Here is a 17,918-nt window from a genome sequence, read left to right as displayed (position 1 = left end):
AGAGAGTGGCTCCCAGTCCCACGAGCTGCCCACCCCTTCCCTCACTCACTACACAGCCTTGACATAGCAGAGCAGAAAGGGCAACCTTTGGAATCAGAGACACCTGAGTTTATTTATTTATTTTTCTTTTTTTTTTTTTGAGACAGGGTCTTGTTCCGTTGCCCAGGCTGGAAGTGCAGTGGCTCAATTATAGCTTGCTGCAGCCTCCATCTCCTGGGCTCAAGCGATCCTCCCACCTCAGCCTCTCCAACAGCTGGGACTACAGTTACACACCACCATAGCTTGGCAAATTTTTTCTTATTTTTTTACAGATGGGATCTTGCTATGTTGCCCAAGCTGGTTTTGAATTCCTGGCCTCAAGCAATCCTCCCACCTTGGCCTTGCTGGGATTACAGGCATGAGCCCCCCTGTCTGGCAGCACTGAGTTTAAATCCATGCTCTGCCACTGCTGTGTGACACCTGCAAAGTGCTTCACTCATCTGGGTCTCAGTTTTCCTAATCTATCAGATGGGCACGGCCGACCTGCCCAGTCTGCCTCACAGAGTTAGAGTGACAATTATACAAGACGCTGTGTTTTGCAAACAAGAAAAGCATCATCTCACAGCACATGCTACCTCTCCATCTCTCTCCACAGCTGAATACAGGTTGCAGACACATTTTATTTGAAACTCTCAACAGTAAAAAAAATTCTAAAATTTTTGCCAACATTAAAAAAACAGATACTTACCTAAGATTTTAAAGATATCCCTCTGTCTCTGACAGTACAGGTGCATTCCCACAAGGCAGTACTCAAGCGCACTGAGCTGCTCCCTTCTCCAGTTCCCATAGCCTCCCAAATGCCCAGTATGTCCTCAACACCTAGGCCAAGGGTCAGGTGTTATTTGTTGAAGGGGGCCAGCCCCTCCACACCTGTGGGTATTTCTCGCAAGGTGGAGGCGAGAGACTGAGAAAAGAAATAAGACACAGAGACAAAGTATAGAGGAAGAAAAGTGGGCCCAGGGGACCGGTGCTCAGTAAGTGAGGACCTGCACCGGCCCCGGTCTCTGAGTTCCCTCAGTATTTATTGATCACTATCTTTACCATCTTGGCAGGGGGAATGTGGTGTGACTATAGGGTGATGGTGGGGAGAGGGTCAGTAGGAAAATGTGTGTGCAAAGGAATCTGTGTCATAAATAAGTCTAAGGAAAGGTGCTGTGCCTGGATGTGCACATAGGCTAGATTTATGTTTAACTTTACATAAACATCTCAGTGCAGTAAAGAGTAACAGAGCAGTATTGCTGCCATCATGTCTCGCCTCCAGCCATATGGCAGTTTTCTCCTATCTCAGAATAGAATATATGGTCGGTTTTTTTTTTTTTTTTTTTTTTTGAGACAGAGTCTCGCTCTGTTGCCCAGGCTGGAGTGCAGTGGAGCAATCTCAGCTCACTGCAAGCCCCGCCTCCTGGGTTCACACCATTTTCCTGCCTCAGCTTCCCGAGTAACTGGGACTACAGGCACCCGCCACTACGCCCGGTGTGTGAGACGGGGTTTCACCGTGTTAGCCAGGATGGTCTCGATCTCCTGACCTCGTGATCTGCCCGCCTCAGCCTCCCAAAGTGCTGGGATGACAGGCGTGAGCCACGGCACCCGGCCATGTATGGTCGGTTTTACACTGAGCCATTCCATTCCCAGGGACGTGCAGGAGACAGATGCCTTCCTCTTATCCCAACAACACAGAGGCCTTCCTCTTTCACTAATCCTCCTCAGGCAGACCCTATGTGGGTGTCAGGCTGGGGGGCTGTAAGGTCTTTCCCTTCCCACGAGGCCACATCTCAGGCTGTCTCAGTGGGGGGAATCCTGGACAATACCTGGGCTTTCTTGGGCAGGGGTCCCTGCGGCCTTCCGCAGTGCATTGTATCTCTGGTTAATCGAGAATGGAGAATGGCGATGACTTTTACTAAGCATACTGCCTACAAAAACATTTCTAACAAAACACATCCTGCACAGCCCTAAATCCCTTAAACCTTGAGTCCATACAGCACATGTTTTTGTGAGCATAGGGTTGGGACAAGAGTTACAGATTAACAGCATCTCAAAGCAGAACAATTTTTCTTAGTACAGATCAAAATGGAGTTTCTTATGTCTTCCTGTCTCTGCATAGACACACTAACAATATGATCTCTCTTTCTTTTCCCCACAATTTGTCACCTGGCTGGCTTCATTCATTATTTCATTACACCAACCACCCGGCCCCTGTAGGTGTTTGGGTTGGCAACCCCAGCTTTCTTTCTTTCTTTCTTTCTTTCTTTATTTATTTATTTTTCTTTGAGACAGAGTCTAGCTCTGTCACCCAGGCTGGAGTGCAATGACATGATCTCGGCTCATTGCAACCTCCGTCCCCTGGGTTCAAGCGATTCTCATGCCTCAGCCTTCCGTGTAGCTGGGATTACAGTCGTGTGCCACCATACCCGGCTAATTTTCGTTTTTTTTTTTTTTAGTAGAGATAGGGTTTCACCATGTTGGCCAGGCTGGTCTTGGACTCCTGACCTCAAGTGATCTGCCCACTTCAGCCTCCCAAAGTGCTGGGATTACAGGTGTGAACCGCTGTGCCCGGCCCTCGGCATAATTTAAGTGGGAAGCCCAGTGTTATGATGACTGTCTCCGGTCATTCCAAGGCTGGGCACCTGCTTCTGGCTGAGTCTTGACCCCTCTCTTCTTCTTGGTGCGCCCTCTGGCCCTGCATGTGTACCCACCCACCTGGCACTTTCAGAAGAGTGGCTGTGACTCACTTAGACAAAAACTGCATTTTCCTGTCCTGATAGTCGAAAACTGCTTGGATGAGCCTAGACAATTTAGGGATTTGAAGGAGTTTCCCAAGCCCCTAATGTGTTCTTCCCTGGCTGAGTGGAGTGAGCCAGCCCCATGGGGCCCAGTGCCCTGGTCTCCCCACCATCACCTGCACCAGCCGGTCTCTGTCTTCCCCCTCCCCACCCCATCGTGATCAATGGGACAGGCCCTCAGGTTGCAGGGCATGAACCTGAGGGAGGAGCCAGACCTCGGGCCCTGAAGGGAGCTCTGGCCACTCACAGTCCCTCCAGGGAGCCCCTGGGTGTGGGGTTTGGGCTCTGACTGCAGCAGGAGGAGGCCCAGGAAGGACCCACCCTGGCTTTTCTCCTTTCCAGTGTGTCTCTTTCCCAGAAAAATATGGGTCCTAGTGGCCAGTGTCCCTGGGAGCTGTCGAATCAAGCTTCCTGGATACCTGCCACTCGGCCAGCTGGTGGCACCTTTAGAGGGCTTTTCCTGCCGCTGAGAACACGAATCTGTTGGGGAAAAGACTGCTAGATGAGCCCTGCCAGGTCCCGACACACTGCCTGGCTGTTGCCTGGGACCACAGTCTTTGCTCACCTCTTGGCTAAGCTTTAGCCTCCTTCCAGGAATGCTTCCTGGATCTCAGCCCTCTGGAGTTGTGTGTCTTCATCTGCCCCTAGTTTGCTGTGTGACTTCAGGCAAGCGGCACAACCTCTCTGCTCTACTCGCTTAGGATGCCTAGAAGAATCTGAGCAGAGCACTCTGGAAGGGACTGTGACAGAGGCAGTGGAGAAAGGGCTGGTGCAAGGAGAATGTTTATGTGGCAGCACCATGAGTAGCATGAGGCCGAGGGCTGGGAGCCCGATTTCCTGTGTTCGACTTCCAGTTCTAGGCTGGGCACGGTGGCTCACACCTGTAATCCCAGTACTTTGGTAGGCCGAGGCGGATGGATCACCTGAGGTCAGGAGTTTGAGACCAACCTGGCCAACGCGGTGAAACTCCATCTCTACTGAAAATATAAAAATTAGCCAGGTGTGTTGGTGCATGCCTGTAATCCCAGCTACTTGGGAGGCTGAGGCAGGAGAATCAATCTCTTGAACCCGGGAGGCGGAGGTTGCAGTGAGCAGAGATCGTGCCACTGTACTGCATCCTGGGTGACAGAGCAAGACCCCATCTCAAAAAACAAACAAACAAAAACAAAAAACCCACCAAATTCCGGTTCCATCGCTTGGCAGCTCCATGACCTTGGGGACAATTATAGCACCTACTGCATAGGATGGCTGAGAGGATTAAACAAAATTATGCAAGAGATGCACTTGGCACCATTGAAATGTTCAGGAAAGGCCATTGTTAGGATTGGTACCTGAACAGCATGGAACCTGCCAAAGGAAGAGAGGAGCTCCCGGGGCGCAGGTGTCAGCTCACCCACGATTCCTACAGGTGGAGCTGCGGCTATGAAGCCTTGATTTCCAGGGGTTGGGGACCTGGATTTGAGTCACTTTCGTTTGTGCCACGCCTGAGCATGGCAGACCCCCAGGGAGGAGTTGGGAGTGGGCTCTCGCAGGACCCCTGCCATGGTGGGTGCTGTGAGCTGCCCTCCCAGAGGTGAGTTCTCTGGGTCCTGCCACACAAAACACATGGCAGGGGCGTGGATCCCTACACCCAAACCCATACAAGGCCTTGGACCTGTGCTCACCAACTCAGATCACGGGGATGCAGGGGGTTCACCTTCTCCAAGGAAGGGCCAGGGACACAAGAGAAAACAGGGAGCTATTTTGAGAAGGTGTCAAGGCTGGGACACTAAAATTAGAGGCTTGGTTCCTAAAAAGACATTGGCGCCAACCGAGGCCTTGAAGAGGGGCTCTTCAGCACGGAATGTGACCCCAGGAAGCACGCTCACAATTCTGGACAATGAGGTCAGCCTGCAGGGCGCATGGGACCGCCCAATGGCCGGTGGGCATGGGCACCTCTCCCCCCGCCAGCCCCACCTGCAGAATGCTGGAACTGGCTCCAACCGCTTCCCGTCTGCACTGAGCCAGCGCAAGGGCGAGCGGACAGAGCCTCATGTTCCCGGTGCTGCTGCCCTTCCAGGCTGCCTTCCTTTTTTGACTGTCCTTTTGGCTTCTTATGCTTTTGGCTCCATTCTGGATGTGCGTCATGGGGTGGGATGCAGAAGCAGCAGCCAGCTTGGAGGCTGGTGTTCCCGGAGGCTGAGGGCGGGATGGGGGGAAATATGAACCAGGAAAGGGCCTGGTATCCCCAGCCCAGATGGGCCTAGGCTGCTGTCCCCCAGGGACAGAGAAGCTCAAGACTTTCTTTTTTTCTTTTTTTTTAGGCAGAGTCTTGCTGTGTCTCCCAGGCTGGAGTGCAGTGGCACGATCTCAGCTCACTGTAACCCCCATCTCCCAGGTTCAAGCGATTCTCTGCCTCAGCCTCCTGAGTAGTTGGTATTATAGGCATGCGCCACCACACCCCACTAATTTTTTGGATTTTTTAGTAGAGATGGGGTTTCGCCATGTTGGCCAGACTGGTCTCGAACTCCTGACCCCAAGTGATCTGCCTGCCTTGGCCTCCCAAAGTACTGGGATTACAGGTGTGAGCCACTGTGCCCAGCCCAAGACTTTCTTTCTTTGTCTCCTCCTCTGGCCTCAGAGGAAGCTGGGGAAGTCCTTACAGAGCCGACTTCCTGGGGTGAGGCGCCAAAGGGCTCTTAGTCCCGCTGCTCGGAGATGGAGGCGACCCCTCTCCCTCCTCTCAGGGCCCCGGCCTGGAGTCCAAGGCTTCATCATTTGCCTTTCCTCTTAGCCCAAGGTGTTTTCCCTGGAGAGGGAGGGTGGCAAATTTGATCCTGTCCCCACACTCCTGTTTAAATTCCCTTAGCGACTGCTCATGGCCCTGGGATGGGGTCTGAATTTATCACCGTCCAGAAGGCCCCACAAATTCCAGCCCTGCCCAGCTCTCACTCCAAGCCCTAGACCCGTGACCATCTCTCCTGTTTTCCAACACACCAAGTTCACACCCTCTCCTCCTCGCCCAGCTGAGTCCCACTTACTCAATGTAATGTGAGACAATGGAAATGTCCCTTCCCTAGAGAGGCCTGCCCAGGCCAGGACATTAGGCTCAGGCTTATTGCCATCTGTTCTTGTAGGACCGTTTTTGCTGTGTGCTGGTGCTCCCCATCAGAACATCAGCTCCATGGAATCTGCCTGCTGTTGTAACTCCAGTGCTTGGCACAAAGCCGGGGCTCAGAGATACACGTTGCCCTCGTTGAGGTGGAAACCAAGAGGGAAGTGCCCTGGTCACTCTTGGACAATGGGGGCCTAGAAATGCAGGGAGGTGGCTGTCACAGACAGGCTACCTGGGCAAAGGAGACTTGGTCTACCAAAGGAGGCCAGAAGGATGACACCATGGGAGGGTGCACTGCTGGAATGGGGCTTGGGGACAATGTCCACCGGTCTCACCCACAGGGCTGTCCGTGGCTCAGCGGTCAGCCCCAGCAGGTCCCCTGTCCTGCCCTGCTCTTTAGCCTGACTCCGTGGCACCTCTCCGAGACCAAAGCCGACAAGCAGATGGGCCTTGAATCAGGCTCGGAGGGTGAGCTGGGGTTTCCGTAGCAAAGGTAGAGGGAAGTGCTCAGGAAAATGATGAACATGTTTCCCCAAAAACTGGCATAGTTGTTCCCCTCAGAACCCCCATACTGTCTCCTGGATATGAGTAGAGATGGCTCAGTGCCTGTGGGGGCTCAGAGCCTGACCCTCCCTACCCCAGGTCCCACTGTCACATGCTTAGGCTTGTTAAACACTCAGACGGGTGCGGTGGCTCATGCCTGTAATCCCAGCACTTTGGGAGGCCGAGGCGGGAGGATCGCTTGAGTCCAGGAGTTTGAGATCAGCCTGGGCAGCATGGCAAGACTCCGTTTCTATTTTTTTAAATTAAAAAATTAAAAATTAAAAATAAAAATAAAACACACCCAGAAAAGCTGTGTTGAGTTGAATGGGGCTGCATCAGCTTTGCTTGGCTGGCTCTCTCCCAGCTCCTGCTAAGACACATTTGTCTGGGGCAGTTCTGGTTTACATCCATCCATTGGGGGGCTTTTTAACACAACCCATGTCATACCAACGCATCCTGGTTTGGAATTTATGTTACATGGTTATGCTATTAGGTCTAAATATGTTCATATGGAATTATCTCTAAGACAATTTAGTAATTAAATAACTTAATAATTTAAGTAGTACAAATATGCAAAAAAATTGCATGTGCTTGTGCTGTAGAGGAAAATTCATGAAGGAGGCATAAGAAATTGATCAGCGATGCCTGGGAGGGGAGTAGGTGGGAGCTGAGGGACTGGGAGTTCGATGGGAGGGAGTTACCTTTAATTGTGCGTCCTCTTCTATATATACAGGATATATAGAATCATATGTATATACATATATGGGTGTGTTTTTCTTGTTTTTTGTTTTTTGTTTTTGTTTTTTTTTTTTTTGAGACAGAGTCTCACTCTGTCACCCAGACTGGAATGCAGTGGCATGATCTCAGCTCACTACAACATCTGCCTCCCGGTTTAAGCGATTCTCATGCCTCAGTCTCCTAATAGCTGGGACCACAAGTGCACACCACCATGTCCGGCTAATTTTTTGTCTTTTTATTAGAGATGGGGTTTCACTATGTTGCTCAGGCTGGTCTCAAACTCCTGGCCTCACGCGATCCTCTGGCCTCAGTTTCCCAAAGTGCTGGGATTACAGGTGTGAGCCGCCATGCCTGGCATGATTTCTACTACTTTTTGAGAAAAGTAAACTTGAGTTACTTTTTCTCAAAAAAAATAAAATAAAATAAAGGGCCCGGCGCAGTGGCTCACGCCTGTAATCCCAGTGCTTTGGGAGGCTGAGGCAGGTGGATCACAAGGTCAGGAGATCGAGACCATCCTGGCTAACACGGTGAAACCCCGTCTCTACTAAAAATACGAAAAATTAGCCGGGCGTGGTGGTGGGCGCCTGTAGTCCCAGCTACTCGGGAGGCTGAGGCAGGAGAGTGGTGTGAACCCAGGAGGCAGAGCTTGCAGTGAGCCAAGATGGCGCCACTGCACTCCAGCCTGGGTGACAGAGCAAGACTCCGTCTCAAACAACAAAAAAGCAAAAACAAACAAAAAAACCTCCACTGCACGCCCCTCACCCCTCTAGCCTGAACCCCCAGGTTTATATTATATGGCTTGGGGCTTCTTACTTTGTTATTTTTCTACCACTGATTTCTGAGGTTTGGTGGGAAACTTGGTGACATCTGGGCTTTGTAATTAATAAAATACAAAGCAAAAAACCCGACAAAACATGTTTGGTCTTTCTCTGTTTTGACTACACATTCCTCGAGGGCAGGGACATTTGGGGGTCGCCTTCGTCCAACAGTGGTGAGTTCATGGTAGGTGTGAACAGGTGTTTGCTAAACTAAGCCCAGGACGGTGAGAAGGGCGAGCGGGTCCCTCACCAGCAAGAGCCCTGGAGGATCTCTTAGGGGTGCCTGTCCCTGGCTGCCTGCCCACCTTTTCCAAGAGGCCTTTCTAACTCTCCTACCAGAGCCGGCAGACTGGGTCCATCCTGGAGCCCGCTTGGTGGGCTGTGGTGAGTGGAGGTTTTCCACACCACGGGAAGTAGCCCAGGCTTGATGAACGATGACTTCCCGGGCGAGGGATGGAGAACATTGTACCCACTCACGTGCGGGCACAGGTGATCCCGGCTGGAGCAAAGACTCTCATAGTTTGCTTCCTGCTTGGCCGTGACAATGACCCAGGCTCTCAGCCCCCATGCACTTGCACACTCCCCTCAGGGCCACATGGGGTGGGCTGGAGAATCCCAGGAATGTGTTGGAGCTGCTGACAGCACTTCATGCTCTGCGTGTGATCGGCCCATGTGACTTCCTCAGGGAACTGTGTGCCTGGTGGGCTCCAGCACCCCTATCCTGAATCTCCCAGGTCTTCTGATCCCCAGCGCTGGTGCTTAAGAGCGGGATGGGGTTGGGGGGATGCAGAGATGAAATGTAATGGGCAAATCTGCTTGCCCATGGCCACTCCACTTTGTTCTTCATCCAGGGAGGGGTGGCCTAGGCATGGTGGCCAGGGCTTGGCTGTGCACAGGGAACAGGAAGCCGTGAGTGGGAGTGGCCAGGGGAGGCGGGTGGCGCTCACTGCCTACAGCAGGTGTGGCCATGGTGCTGACAGGTCCAGCTTATCAGGGCTGGAGGCCCAGGCTCCAGACGTGCAGGCTGTGGGGCTTTATCAGCCTTTAGAGCGCCAGAGTTTGTGGCAATCCTGCCAGCCATGGGTGCTGACAGCCAGGAGCTAGGCGGAGTACAGCTTCCTCTCTTGGCCTCCCTGCTCCCAGCCTCAAGGCCGGGGTTCACACTGCAGGGACATTTGAGGAGAGGAGAGATGGCAGGGAGGAGAGGGAGGAGGAGATGGGCCCAGAAGCTTGTTTCTCCTCCAGAGATTTTATTTATTTTATTTTTAAAGGAAATGTCTCTGAGTTTTATATATATATATATTTGTCTTTTTGTTTGTTTTGTTTTGTTTTTAAAGACAGGGTCTTGCTCTGTTGCCTAGGCTGGAGTGCAGTAGTGCGATCACAGCTCACTGCAGCCTCGACCTTCCGCAAGGTTTTAAAACGTGTTCATACCTTCACAAAAACTGACACCTGCTTACTGCAACAAGTGAAATTATTTTAAAAGGGCTGAGGAGCTTTGAGGGGAGAAAGGAGGAGGTGAATGAGAGGGGGATGGAGAAGCACTAAGAACAAAATCCAGCCCCTTCCCCCTTTCCCCAGCTGCCTCCTAAGCTGTCTCAGAGCTCTCCTCGAGCTGCCCTCCATGTGAGTTTCCTAAACCGTCTCGAAGCTCTCCTCCTGCGTCTGTATGAGTTTCCTGCGGCTGCTGTGTCAAATTGCCAACAACTCGGTGGCGTAAAACAAGACAGATGTATTATCTTATAGCTCCGGAGGCCAGAAGTCTAAAATCAGTATCCCTGGGCTGAAGTCGAGGTGTGGCAGGGCCGCCCTCTCTGGAGGCTGTCAGGGGAATACTTCCTGGCCTCTGCCGGCCTCTGGTGGCTCCAGGTGTTCCTTGGCTTGTGGCCGCATCACCCCAGTCTCTGCCTCCGTGGTCACACTGCCTTCCCTGCTTCTGTGTGTGGTGGTGTCGCCCTCTGCCTCCCTCTTGTATAATAAGAACACTTGTGATCATATTTAGGGTCCATTGCATAATCCAGGATGGTCTTCCCATCTCCGGAGCCTTAATTTAGTCACCACTGCAAAAGTTTAGTCACCTCTGCAAAGTCTGTTTATTGCCATATAAGGTGAGATTCCCAGGTTGCAGGGATTAGGGAGTGGACGTCTTTGCGAGGGCATTAATTAGCCCACCTACCCTCCCTCTCCAGCCCCACCAGCCTGCCAGGGCTCCTCAAACCACTACATTCCTTCCACCCCTGCCTCCTCAAGCGCTGGCTTTGGCTCTGTCCTCTGCTGGGATGCTCTTCCCCGAACCCTGGCTCCTCCTTATTCCCCTGAGCTCAGTTTAAACATCACCTCCTTGATGACAACCTCTGACCCATTCCAAGAAAAGAGGTGTGCCCAGTTACCCTTTGTGCCTGGCACATAGTAGCTGCCCACTGCAAAAGTGTTGGTGACTGACAGGCATAGAAACCTGAGCACTCGACAGCCCTGAAGGGGAAGCCTGGCTTCCTGATGCCTGGAACGTTCCTTGAGCCTTTCCTTGCCTTTGTTCTCCCACACCTGGGCAGAGGCCATCCATGTTGGGCAGAGTTCGAGGTCTATGTCTGCACTGGCCTAGGCCTCAGGGGATGGGGCCCTGGTTTTTTTCCCACCAAAGCCCATAGAGTAGAATGGGGTGGGGAGGGGAGGGGAGCGGAGGGGAGGGGCAGCACACATGTCAGCTTCCGCTGTGGGCCCTGGACAGGAAAGGTCACTGAAGGGACAGCGTCTCAGGGCCCAGCTCTGCAACATCTGGCTCACGGCCTGCCTTCCCAGCATGTCCCAGAGGCCCTTGAGGACAGAGTGGCAGGTGACAGCACTGACATTAGTGCCAGACTTCCTGGGCCACTGCCACCCACAGGGAGGGGCTTTGGGGAAGGCATCTGGCCTTTCTGTGTCCAGTATAATAAAAATAAGAGCCAACTTTTATGGAACACTGACTCAGCTCCAGGCTGTGCTCATTCAGTCCTCGCAGTCACTGAGATAATGGACTTCAGTGTGTAGAACCATTCATGGCAGCTGATATGTGCCCAAGAAACTGAGTTATTTCCCGGGGGCTCTTTGAAGGCTCTTGGTGTTTATCTGAACACAGAAGATGGAAGGGGGGAAAGATGGAGGCGGGAGGGAGGGAGAGAGGGACCAGGCTGCAGGGTCAAATGTCCTGGAATAAGTGCTTCAGTTCCCTGGAGGTGATTTCTGGATGATTTGTCTTGCTCTGTATGATTTCTTTATGTATTTATTATTTTTTTTTGGCATTAGCTCTCTGTTTATATAGACTCTGGTTCTAGAAACAACTCGCCTGCAGCCGGCTGGCTGGACCAGCACACGCTGACAGGGCTGGGCTATTTACAGGCCCATTGCGGGCTGTACCTTGGTCACCTCCAGGGACAGTGCTCAGCTGTGACCCCAAAATAAGTTAGGGCCAGCTGGGTGGGGCGGGGCGGGATGGGGCAGGGGCTGTATGCACCATGTGCTGGGGGCTCAGGGCCTCAATATTGTTGAGGGCTGGGGCAGTAAAGATGGCTGGGGCAGCCCTGCCCACCCCTAGTGGTCAGTAACGACCGGAAGCAGAGCAGCTGGGCGGGGCCGGGAGGCTCAGGTGTCTGACAGGCAGCTCTGGATCCCGTCCACCCACTGCTGGGCCAAGGGCATATCCTGGGCACAGATGTTGTAAACGCAAAGTGTTGTCTTCACGTCAAAGAAAGCCTTCTCATCCATGGTCTTAGGGCGTGCCCCTGCCACAGCCTCCACCTCCGCCAGTCGATGACACCCTTGCACTCTGTGTCCACACAGTGGTTGCAGTAGCACAGCTGGTGCTGGTCTTGTCCAACATGAACCAGCGGGCCTTCCAAGGCTTCATGAAGGCCTCCTTCTTCTACAGAGTGCCCTCGTTGGACCCGTTCTCACTCTCAGCTCTCTGGAACTGGCTGCACAGGGTGCTGGTGCTGTGGCGGGCAGCCTGGCAGGAGCCAGAAGCGGTCGAGCCACTACTCTGGTCGCTGTCCAGGCTGAGGCTCAGGGTGGAGCCCACGGGCCCCTCCGGCAGTCACACACCCAGGAACGGTGGTGGTGGGGTGCAGTGGACACTAGAAGGGAGCTAGGGGTGCCACTTCCGTCTGGCCAGCCTTCCAGGCGCTGTGCAGCCTTCACCTGGTCCCAGGTGTCCTTCCATCACTGAGGGCATTAGCCCAGCTCTGTCTCCAGCCTCTGCAGCTCCTCCAGCAGAAGTGAGATAGCATCAGGCTGGGGTCAGGGGCAGCTGTCGTAGCAGGGCCACGCCACGCGGTGCCTGCACTGGGGAGCACCTCCGTCAGACCGTTCTTCCTCCAGGGGCCCAGGGGGCCCCTGGGCCAGTTCCCAGTCATAGGGAGGGCCCTTGGCCAGTATCTCCTCAGTGTAGAAATCCCACACCTTCAGGTTGGACACGTTGCTGTAGGGCTGCGGGAGCTCTGTGTCCTCGGGTGCATGCATGTAATTGTAGAACATGGGCGTCCTCTTGCTCAGCCGGTCCACACACTCCCACAAAGACCTGCACAGCAGCTGGCCCCTGCGTTCCCCCTTCTCCTCATACAGCAGCCCCAGCTCAATGCTCTCAGGGTCAGAGTCAAGTAGGAAGGTCCGGAACGGCGGGACATATGGTGGCAGCCGAGGAACCTGAGGTAGAACTGGCTGAACTCAAACTCCATGGAGAACTGCAGATGGACCTGGTGTTACACAGTCCAGGAACTACAGGAAGGCAGGTGTGAAGCCGCTGCTCTGCCCAGCCAGGGTGTGGGCTCCACGGTGGCTGAAGGGATGACTGAAGGACAACCACTTCTTCTCCACTGGCAGGCGGAAGCTCTCCAGCGTGCAATAGAAGGGGTCTGAGAGCAGCTGCACCAAGGATACCACCTGGGAGGTGATGTCCCAGCCATCCTCCAGGCCCACCAGCACAGAGGAGTCTGAATCCAGGGGCTCCACCACCAGCACTGGCACCTGCAGCAGCTTGTGGATTGGGGTCAGCCGCTCCGAGTCCTCCAGCAAGCACAGGAAGGAGGCTGGGCTGGGCTCAGCAGCGGGGCAGCCCGGGACACATGCCTTCAGCAGCTTCTTGAAGTTGGCCTTCACCTGCTGTTCCTCGAATACCTCAATGGGCACCAGCTCCCACTGCTGCAGGGAGTCTGGCCGCACACCCTTGAGCTGGGCTTTGTTCCCGAGGATGTAGAGGGCTACTCGCTGCAGCCGCAGGAAGCCCGGGTGGGCGAGGGGGCCCTGTTGCCTGGGGTGGGGCCAGCACGTCTCTGCCAACTAACCAGGAGCCCATATTGGCACCAAGCCCACTGCTGCGCCCGCTGGTCTGGACACTGCCCCACTTACTTCGGGGTGCAGTCCATCTGGAGGGCAAGGGCGCCATGGGGTTGGACAGTGTGATGACCCTGGCTCTGGGGCTGGGAATGTGACTGCCCATGTGGGCTGAGGAGAAGCCGGTAAGCATGTTGCGTCCCGACGCGTCGGCATAGTGGGGCATGGAACTGACCACAGCCTGCAGGTACTTCTCCTGCTCCAGGCTACTCGAGTCCACCTGGGACTGGCCTGGAGAAGGTGCGTTCTGGGCCTTGAAGAGGCCGAGGACACCTCTGCCCTGCAGGCCCCAGAGCGCAGCAGCACTGCCTTGGACCACCCGCTGCACCAGCAGATTACGGGGAAGCAGTTCTGGTAGTAGCAGTGGGACACCCACTGCAGGGCATTGTCCTGGACACCCTGGGGCACGATCAGCAGCCCCGGGTAGCTGCAGCAGTTGGTGGTCAACATGCGGTTGTCCAGAGAAATGCGGAAGAGCTTTGGCCCAGCTCAGGCTGCTGCTCAGGGTGCCCAGCCCGAGGTACTGCTAGTTGCGGCAGCAAGCCTCTTCCACCAGGCTGCTGATGGTCATGCCGTCTGAGGGCTTCAGAGCTGAGGCCGGGGTCAGCGTGCTGGGCTCCAGCTCCTCTGACACTGAGATCTCGTCCCCTTGGTCTTCAGGGGGCAGCTGGCCCCGGTGCTGCCAGCTTGGGGGGGTTGTACTTCTTAAGAGTGACATGCTGGTGCCTGATGGTCTTCTTGGAGTTTTTGACCAGGTTGTGGGACAGGGTTCTGAGGGAAGGACCCTTGTCCTTGGTGACTCGGGGTGGCCAGCCAAGTGTATAGGCAGAGCCCAGGGTGAACGCCAAGGTGGCTCTGACGTCCGGCGGTACCGCAGCTTATGCAGCTGCCTGCGGAAGTTGCTCTGGATGCTTTTTAAAGCTCCCTTTGGCCGGGTGCAGTGGCTCATGCCTGTTATCCCAGCACATTGGGAGGCTGAGGCAGGAGGATCCCTTGAGCCCGGGAGGTCAAGACCAGCCTGGGCAACATAGGGAGACCCCCACTTCTACAAAAAAAAAAAAAGTTAGCTGGGCTGTGGTGTTGCACGCCTGTAGTCCTGGCAACTCAGGAGGCTGAGGTGGGAGGATCACTTGAGCCCAGGAGTTTGAGGCTGCAGTGAGCTGTGATCATGCCACTGCCCTCTAGCCTGGGTGACAGAGCAAAATGCTGTCTCTGAAATAAATAAATAAATAAATAGTCCTCTTCATTCTTGTTTGTTCATTTGTTTGTTTTTGAGGCTGAGAACAGCGGACCTGTCTTGGTGACGGGGACCAGCCTGTGAGCATGAACTTAAAAACTCACCCAGACAGAAGGAACTGCTCGCTCTCAGAGCACAGCAGACAGCTCTGCTGGAACTGGGATCTAAGTCAAGCAGGGAGTCGCGTGGTTCTTGAATAAATGGCTTGAATATGACCCTCACCCCACAGTCAGAGACAAAAAAACAGACTGATGGCTGATGGGCTCCCGAGAACAGGAGTCATCTGTCACTTATGATGAACAATTTTATATATACACACACACACACACACACACACACACACACACATAATTACATGAACACACACACACATATATACATGAACACACACGCACATATATATGTGCATATATGTGTGTGTGTGTGTGTGTGTGTGTGTGTGTGTATTTGAGACAGAGTTTTGCTCTGTTGCCCAGGCTGGAGTGCAGTGGTGCGATTTCAGCTCACTGCAACCTCCGCCTCCTGGGTTCAAGCCATTCTCCTGCCTCAGCCTCCTGAGTAGCTGGGACTACAGGCGTGCGCCACCACACCTGGCTAATTTTTGTATTTTTAGTAGAGATGGGATTTCATCATGTTGGCCCGGCTGCTCTCGTACTCCTGATCTCAAGTGATCTACCTGCCTCGGCCTCCCAAGGTGCTGACATCATGGGCATGAGCCACTGCGCCCAGCCCAAATGGTATTTTCAAATGATCTCTCTAAGGTTTGGAGTTCTGCCCGAAGCTACTTCACATCATGCTAGAAAAGTGATCCCATTAAGATAAGCACAGTAGGTGCTGGGGAGCGAGGCAAAAGCTCTTGGTTGGCTTTATTCCCCAAGTGCTCACACCCTGGGACATTCCCGCCACTCTCCTCCCTCCTCAAAGCTTCCTCTGGGAGCCCAAGTGCCTGATGCTACCCCCAACAATAGGGTAACGTGGGGCAGAAAACACTGTCTGCCTTCTTCACCCCGGGAATGGAGCTGAACTTCCAACGGGAAGGGTTCAGTTCTCTCTCTCACCTCCACTGGAGGAAGAAGCTGGGGTGAGAGACAAGAATTCAACCTCAGAGGACTTTCTTTGTAGGGTGAGAAAGCCCTGGGCGTTAGGATCACAGAATTGAAGATTAGATTAGATTAGATTAAAGTTCAGCCATTACTAAGCCTGTCTGTATCTTGTGCTCCATAAATGAGGGGTCCTGTTTTCCTTGTTTCTGCTGTGATCCCAGTGCTCAGACAGTGCTTGGCATATAGCAAGCACTCAATAAATAGTTGAATGGATGAACGGATGCCTCACTTTCCTCATTTATACAACAGAAATCATGGTACTCCCCTGTATTCACTTTCTGTTGCTATGTAACAAATTAGCCCCAAATTACTTGGTGGCTTAAAACAACAATCATTTTATTCCCGCTCTTGATTTCCATGGATCAGGAATTTGGGATTTTTTTTTTTTTTTTAAAGACGGAGTTTTGTCCTATCACCCAGGCTGGAGTGCAGTGGCGCGATCTCGGGTCACTGCAACCTCTGCCTCCCCAGGATCAAACAATTCTCCTGCCTCAGCCTCCCCAGTAGCTGGGACTACAGGTGCCCACCACCATACTCGGCTAATTTTTTGTATTTTTAGTAGAGATGGGGTTTTGCCATGTTGACCAGGCTGGTCTCAAACTCCTGACCTCAAGTGATATGCCCGCTTGGCCTCCCAAAGTGCTGGGATTACAAGCGTGAGCTGCTGCGACTGGCCAGAATTTGGGATTTTGTGTGGCTCTGTCTCAGGGTCTTTCATGCTACTGCAGTCAGACAGTGGCTGGAGTCGGAACAGGAGGGGACTGGCCAGGCATTTCTCTTCATGGAGTCTCAGGGCTTCTCCAGCGGTGGCTTTGGGCTTCCTCACACCATGGTTGCCCCAGGGCTCCCAGGCAAGTGCTCTGGTGAGGAAAGTGGAAGCTACTTCAATGCTATAACCTAGTCTGAGAAGTCACAGAGCGTCACTTCTGCCACAGGCCCAGGCCTGTCCAGATTCAAGAGGAGGGAACGTGGACTCTGCTTCCGATGGGAGGAGTGTCGGTGTCCCATGGTGGGAGCACATGGGGTGGGGCAGCTCGTGGCCATCTTTGGAGATTCAATCTGCCGCCACTAGGAGGAGGCCGGACTGACATTCGAACCCAGGCAGGCCGAATGCAGGTCCTGACTTCTGCATCACCGCTGCATGGGGCTGCCCCAGGACAGGCCAAGTCTCCCAAAGACCTAAAGCAAAACTAAGGATGCAGTGAGGCCCACAGCAAACACCCTTTGCAAATACAAGATGCCTGGGTTCGTTTACTGTGGCTGTCCTAAGAAAGCACCGCAAAGTGGGTGGCTTCAAACAACAGAAATGGTCTCCTTACGGTTCCAGAGGCCAACAGGCTGTGACCGTGGACCGGGCCATGCCTTCTCTGAGGACTCTAGGGAGGGGCCGTCCTTGCCTCTCCCAGCCTCCAGGGTTGCTGGGAATCAGGGGTGTTCCTTGGCTTGTACATGCATCACTGCAGCCTCTGCCTCGGCTTTTACTCAGCCTCCCCCCTGCCTGTCTGTGTCTGCATCTCTCCTCTTCTTACAAGGACATCAGCCGTATTGGACCAGGACCTACCCTAATCCAGTATGATCTCATCCTAACAAATGACATCTGCACAGATCTCTTTTCCAAACAAGGTCACACACTGAGGTTCTGGGTGGACATGAATTTTGGGGACATGATTCAACTCACAATGGCCCTGTCTGATTTCCCAGTCATGGCCTGCCTATGTTCCCAGCCCCTCAAGCTCCGCACAGCCCTTTAAATGGAGGGACATGGCTCCTGGGTCATCAAGCACACCCAGGAGGATGCAGCCAGCCTCAGAGGGCCTAGAACGCAGAGCCCGAGTGGCAGTGGCCACCTTCACTGGGGAGTAAGGTCAGGGAGGAGAGGCAGCCAGAGGGCCTTTGGTAGCCTGCCAGCGCCTCCCTCATTTCCCACATGTCACAGGACTTCTTACGGTCCAGCCGGCTCTGTTCCTCGGTTGTCCCTCCCAAGCACAGTGCGTCCTCTCCTGGGACGGCTCTATTAATAACCCTCATGTGGATGTTCTGGGACGGCCATTCATGCTTCCTGTCCTCACGTGTGGCCCCCACTCTACGCCATTCATGAGAGTGACCCCCAGGCGTGGCTGGCTCCCTCCCTTTCTCCACTGCCAGCGTGTCTGCAGGATCCAAGGTGCCATGTGTTTGCTGTTCACAGTGACCCATGAGTGA

General features: G+C 53.7%; 1 pseudogene, besides 4 other annotated features; it reads right to left on the bottom strand.

Moving 5' to 3' along the window:
* Positions 2,611-6,573: an enhancer, noted in NCBI's record as "VISTA enhancer hs2125". NCBI's record gives its function as "enhancer in: heart[6/7]" and the evidence as "EXISTENCE:transgenic organism evidence [ECO:0001131][PMID:17130149]".
* Positions 8,169-8,796: an enhancer, noted in NCBI's record as "H3K27ac-H3K4me1 hESC enhancer chr1:11943305-11943932 (GRCh37/hg19 assembly coordinates)". NCBI's record gives its function as "activates a minimal SCP1, AML or CMV promoter by ChIP-STARR-seq in naive and primed H9 embryonic stem cells {active_cell/tissue: H9 hESC(naive and primed)}" and the evidence as "EXISTENCE:reporter gene assay evidence [ECO:0000049][PMID:30033119]".
* Positions 8,797-9,426: an enhancer, noted in NCBI's record as "H3K27ac-H3K4me1 hESC enhancer chr1:11942675-11943304 (GRCh37/hg19 assembly coordinates)". NCBI's record gives its function as "activates a minimal SCP1, AML or CMV promoter by ChIP-STARR-seq in primed H9 embryonic stem cells {active_cell/tissue: H9 hESC(primed)}" and the evidence as "EXISTENCE:reporter gene assay evidence [ECO:0000049][PMID:30033119]".
* SBF1P2 (SBF1 pseudogene 2) lies at positions 11,286-14,275 on the bottom strand (annotated as a pseudogene).
* Positions 11,356-11,856: an enhancer, noted in NCBI's record as "H3K4me1 hESC enhancer chr1:11940245-11940745 (GRCh37/hg19 assembly coordinates)". NCBI's record gives its function as "activates a minimal SCP1, AML or CMV promoter by ChIP-STARR-seq in naive H9 embryonic stem cells {active_cell/tissue: H9 hESC(naive)}" and the evidence as "EXISTENCE:reporter gene assay evidence [ECO:0000049][PMID:30033119]".

Source organism: Homo sapiens, chromosome 1 (genome assembly GCF_000001405.40).
Source record: "Homo sapiens chromosome 1, GRCh38.p14 Primary Assembly".
NCBI lineage: Eukaryota > Metazoa > Chordata > Mammalia > Primates > Hominidae > Homo > Homo sapiens.
This window is presented reverse-complemented; position numbering and strand designations above follow the sequence as displayed.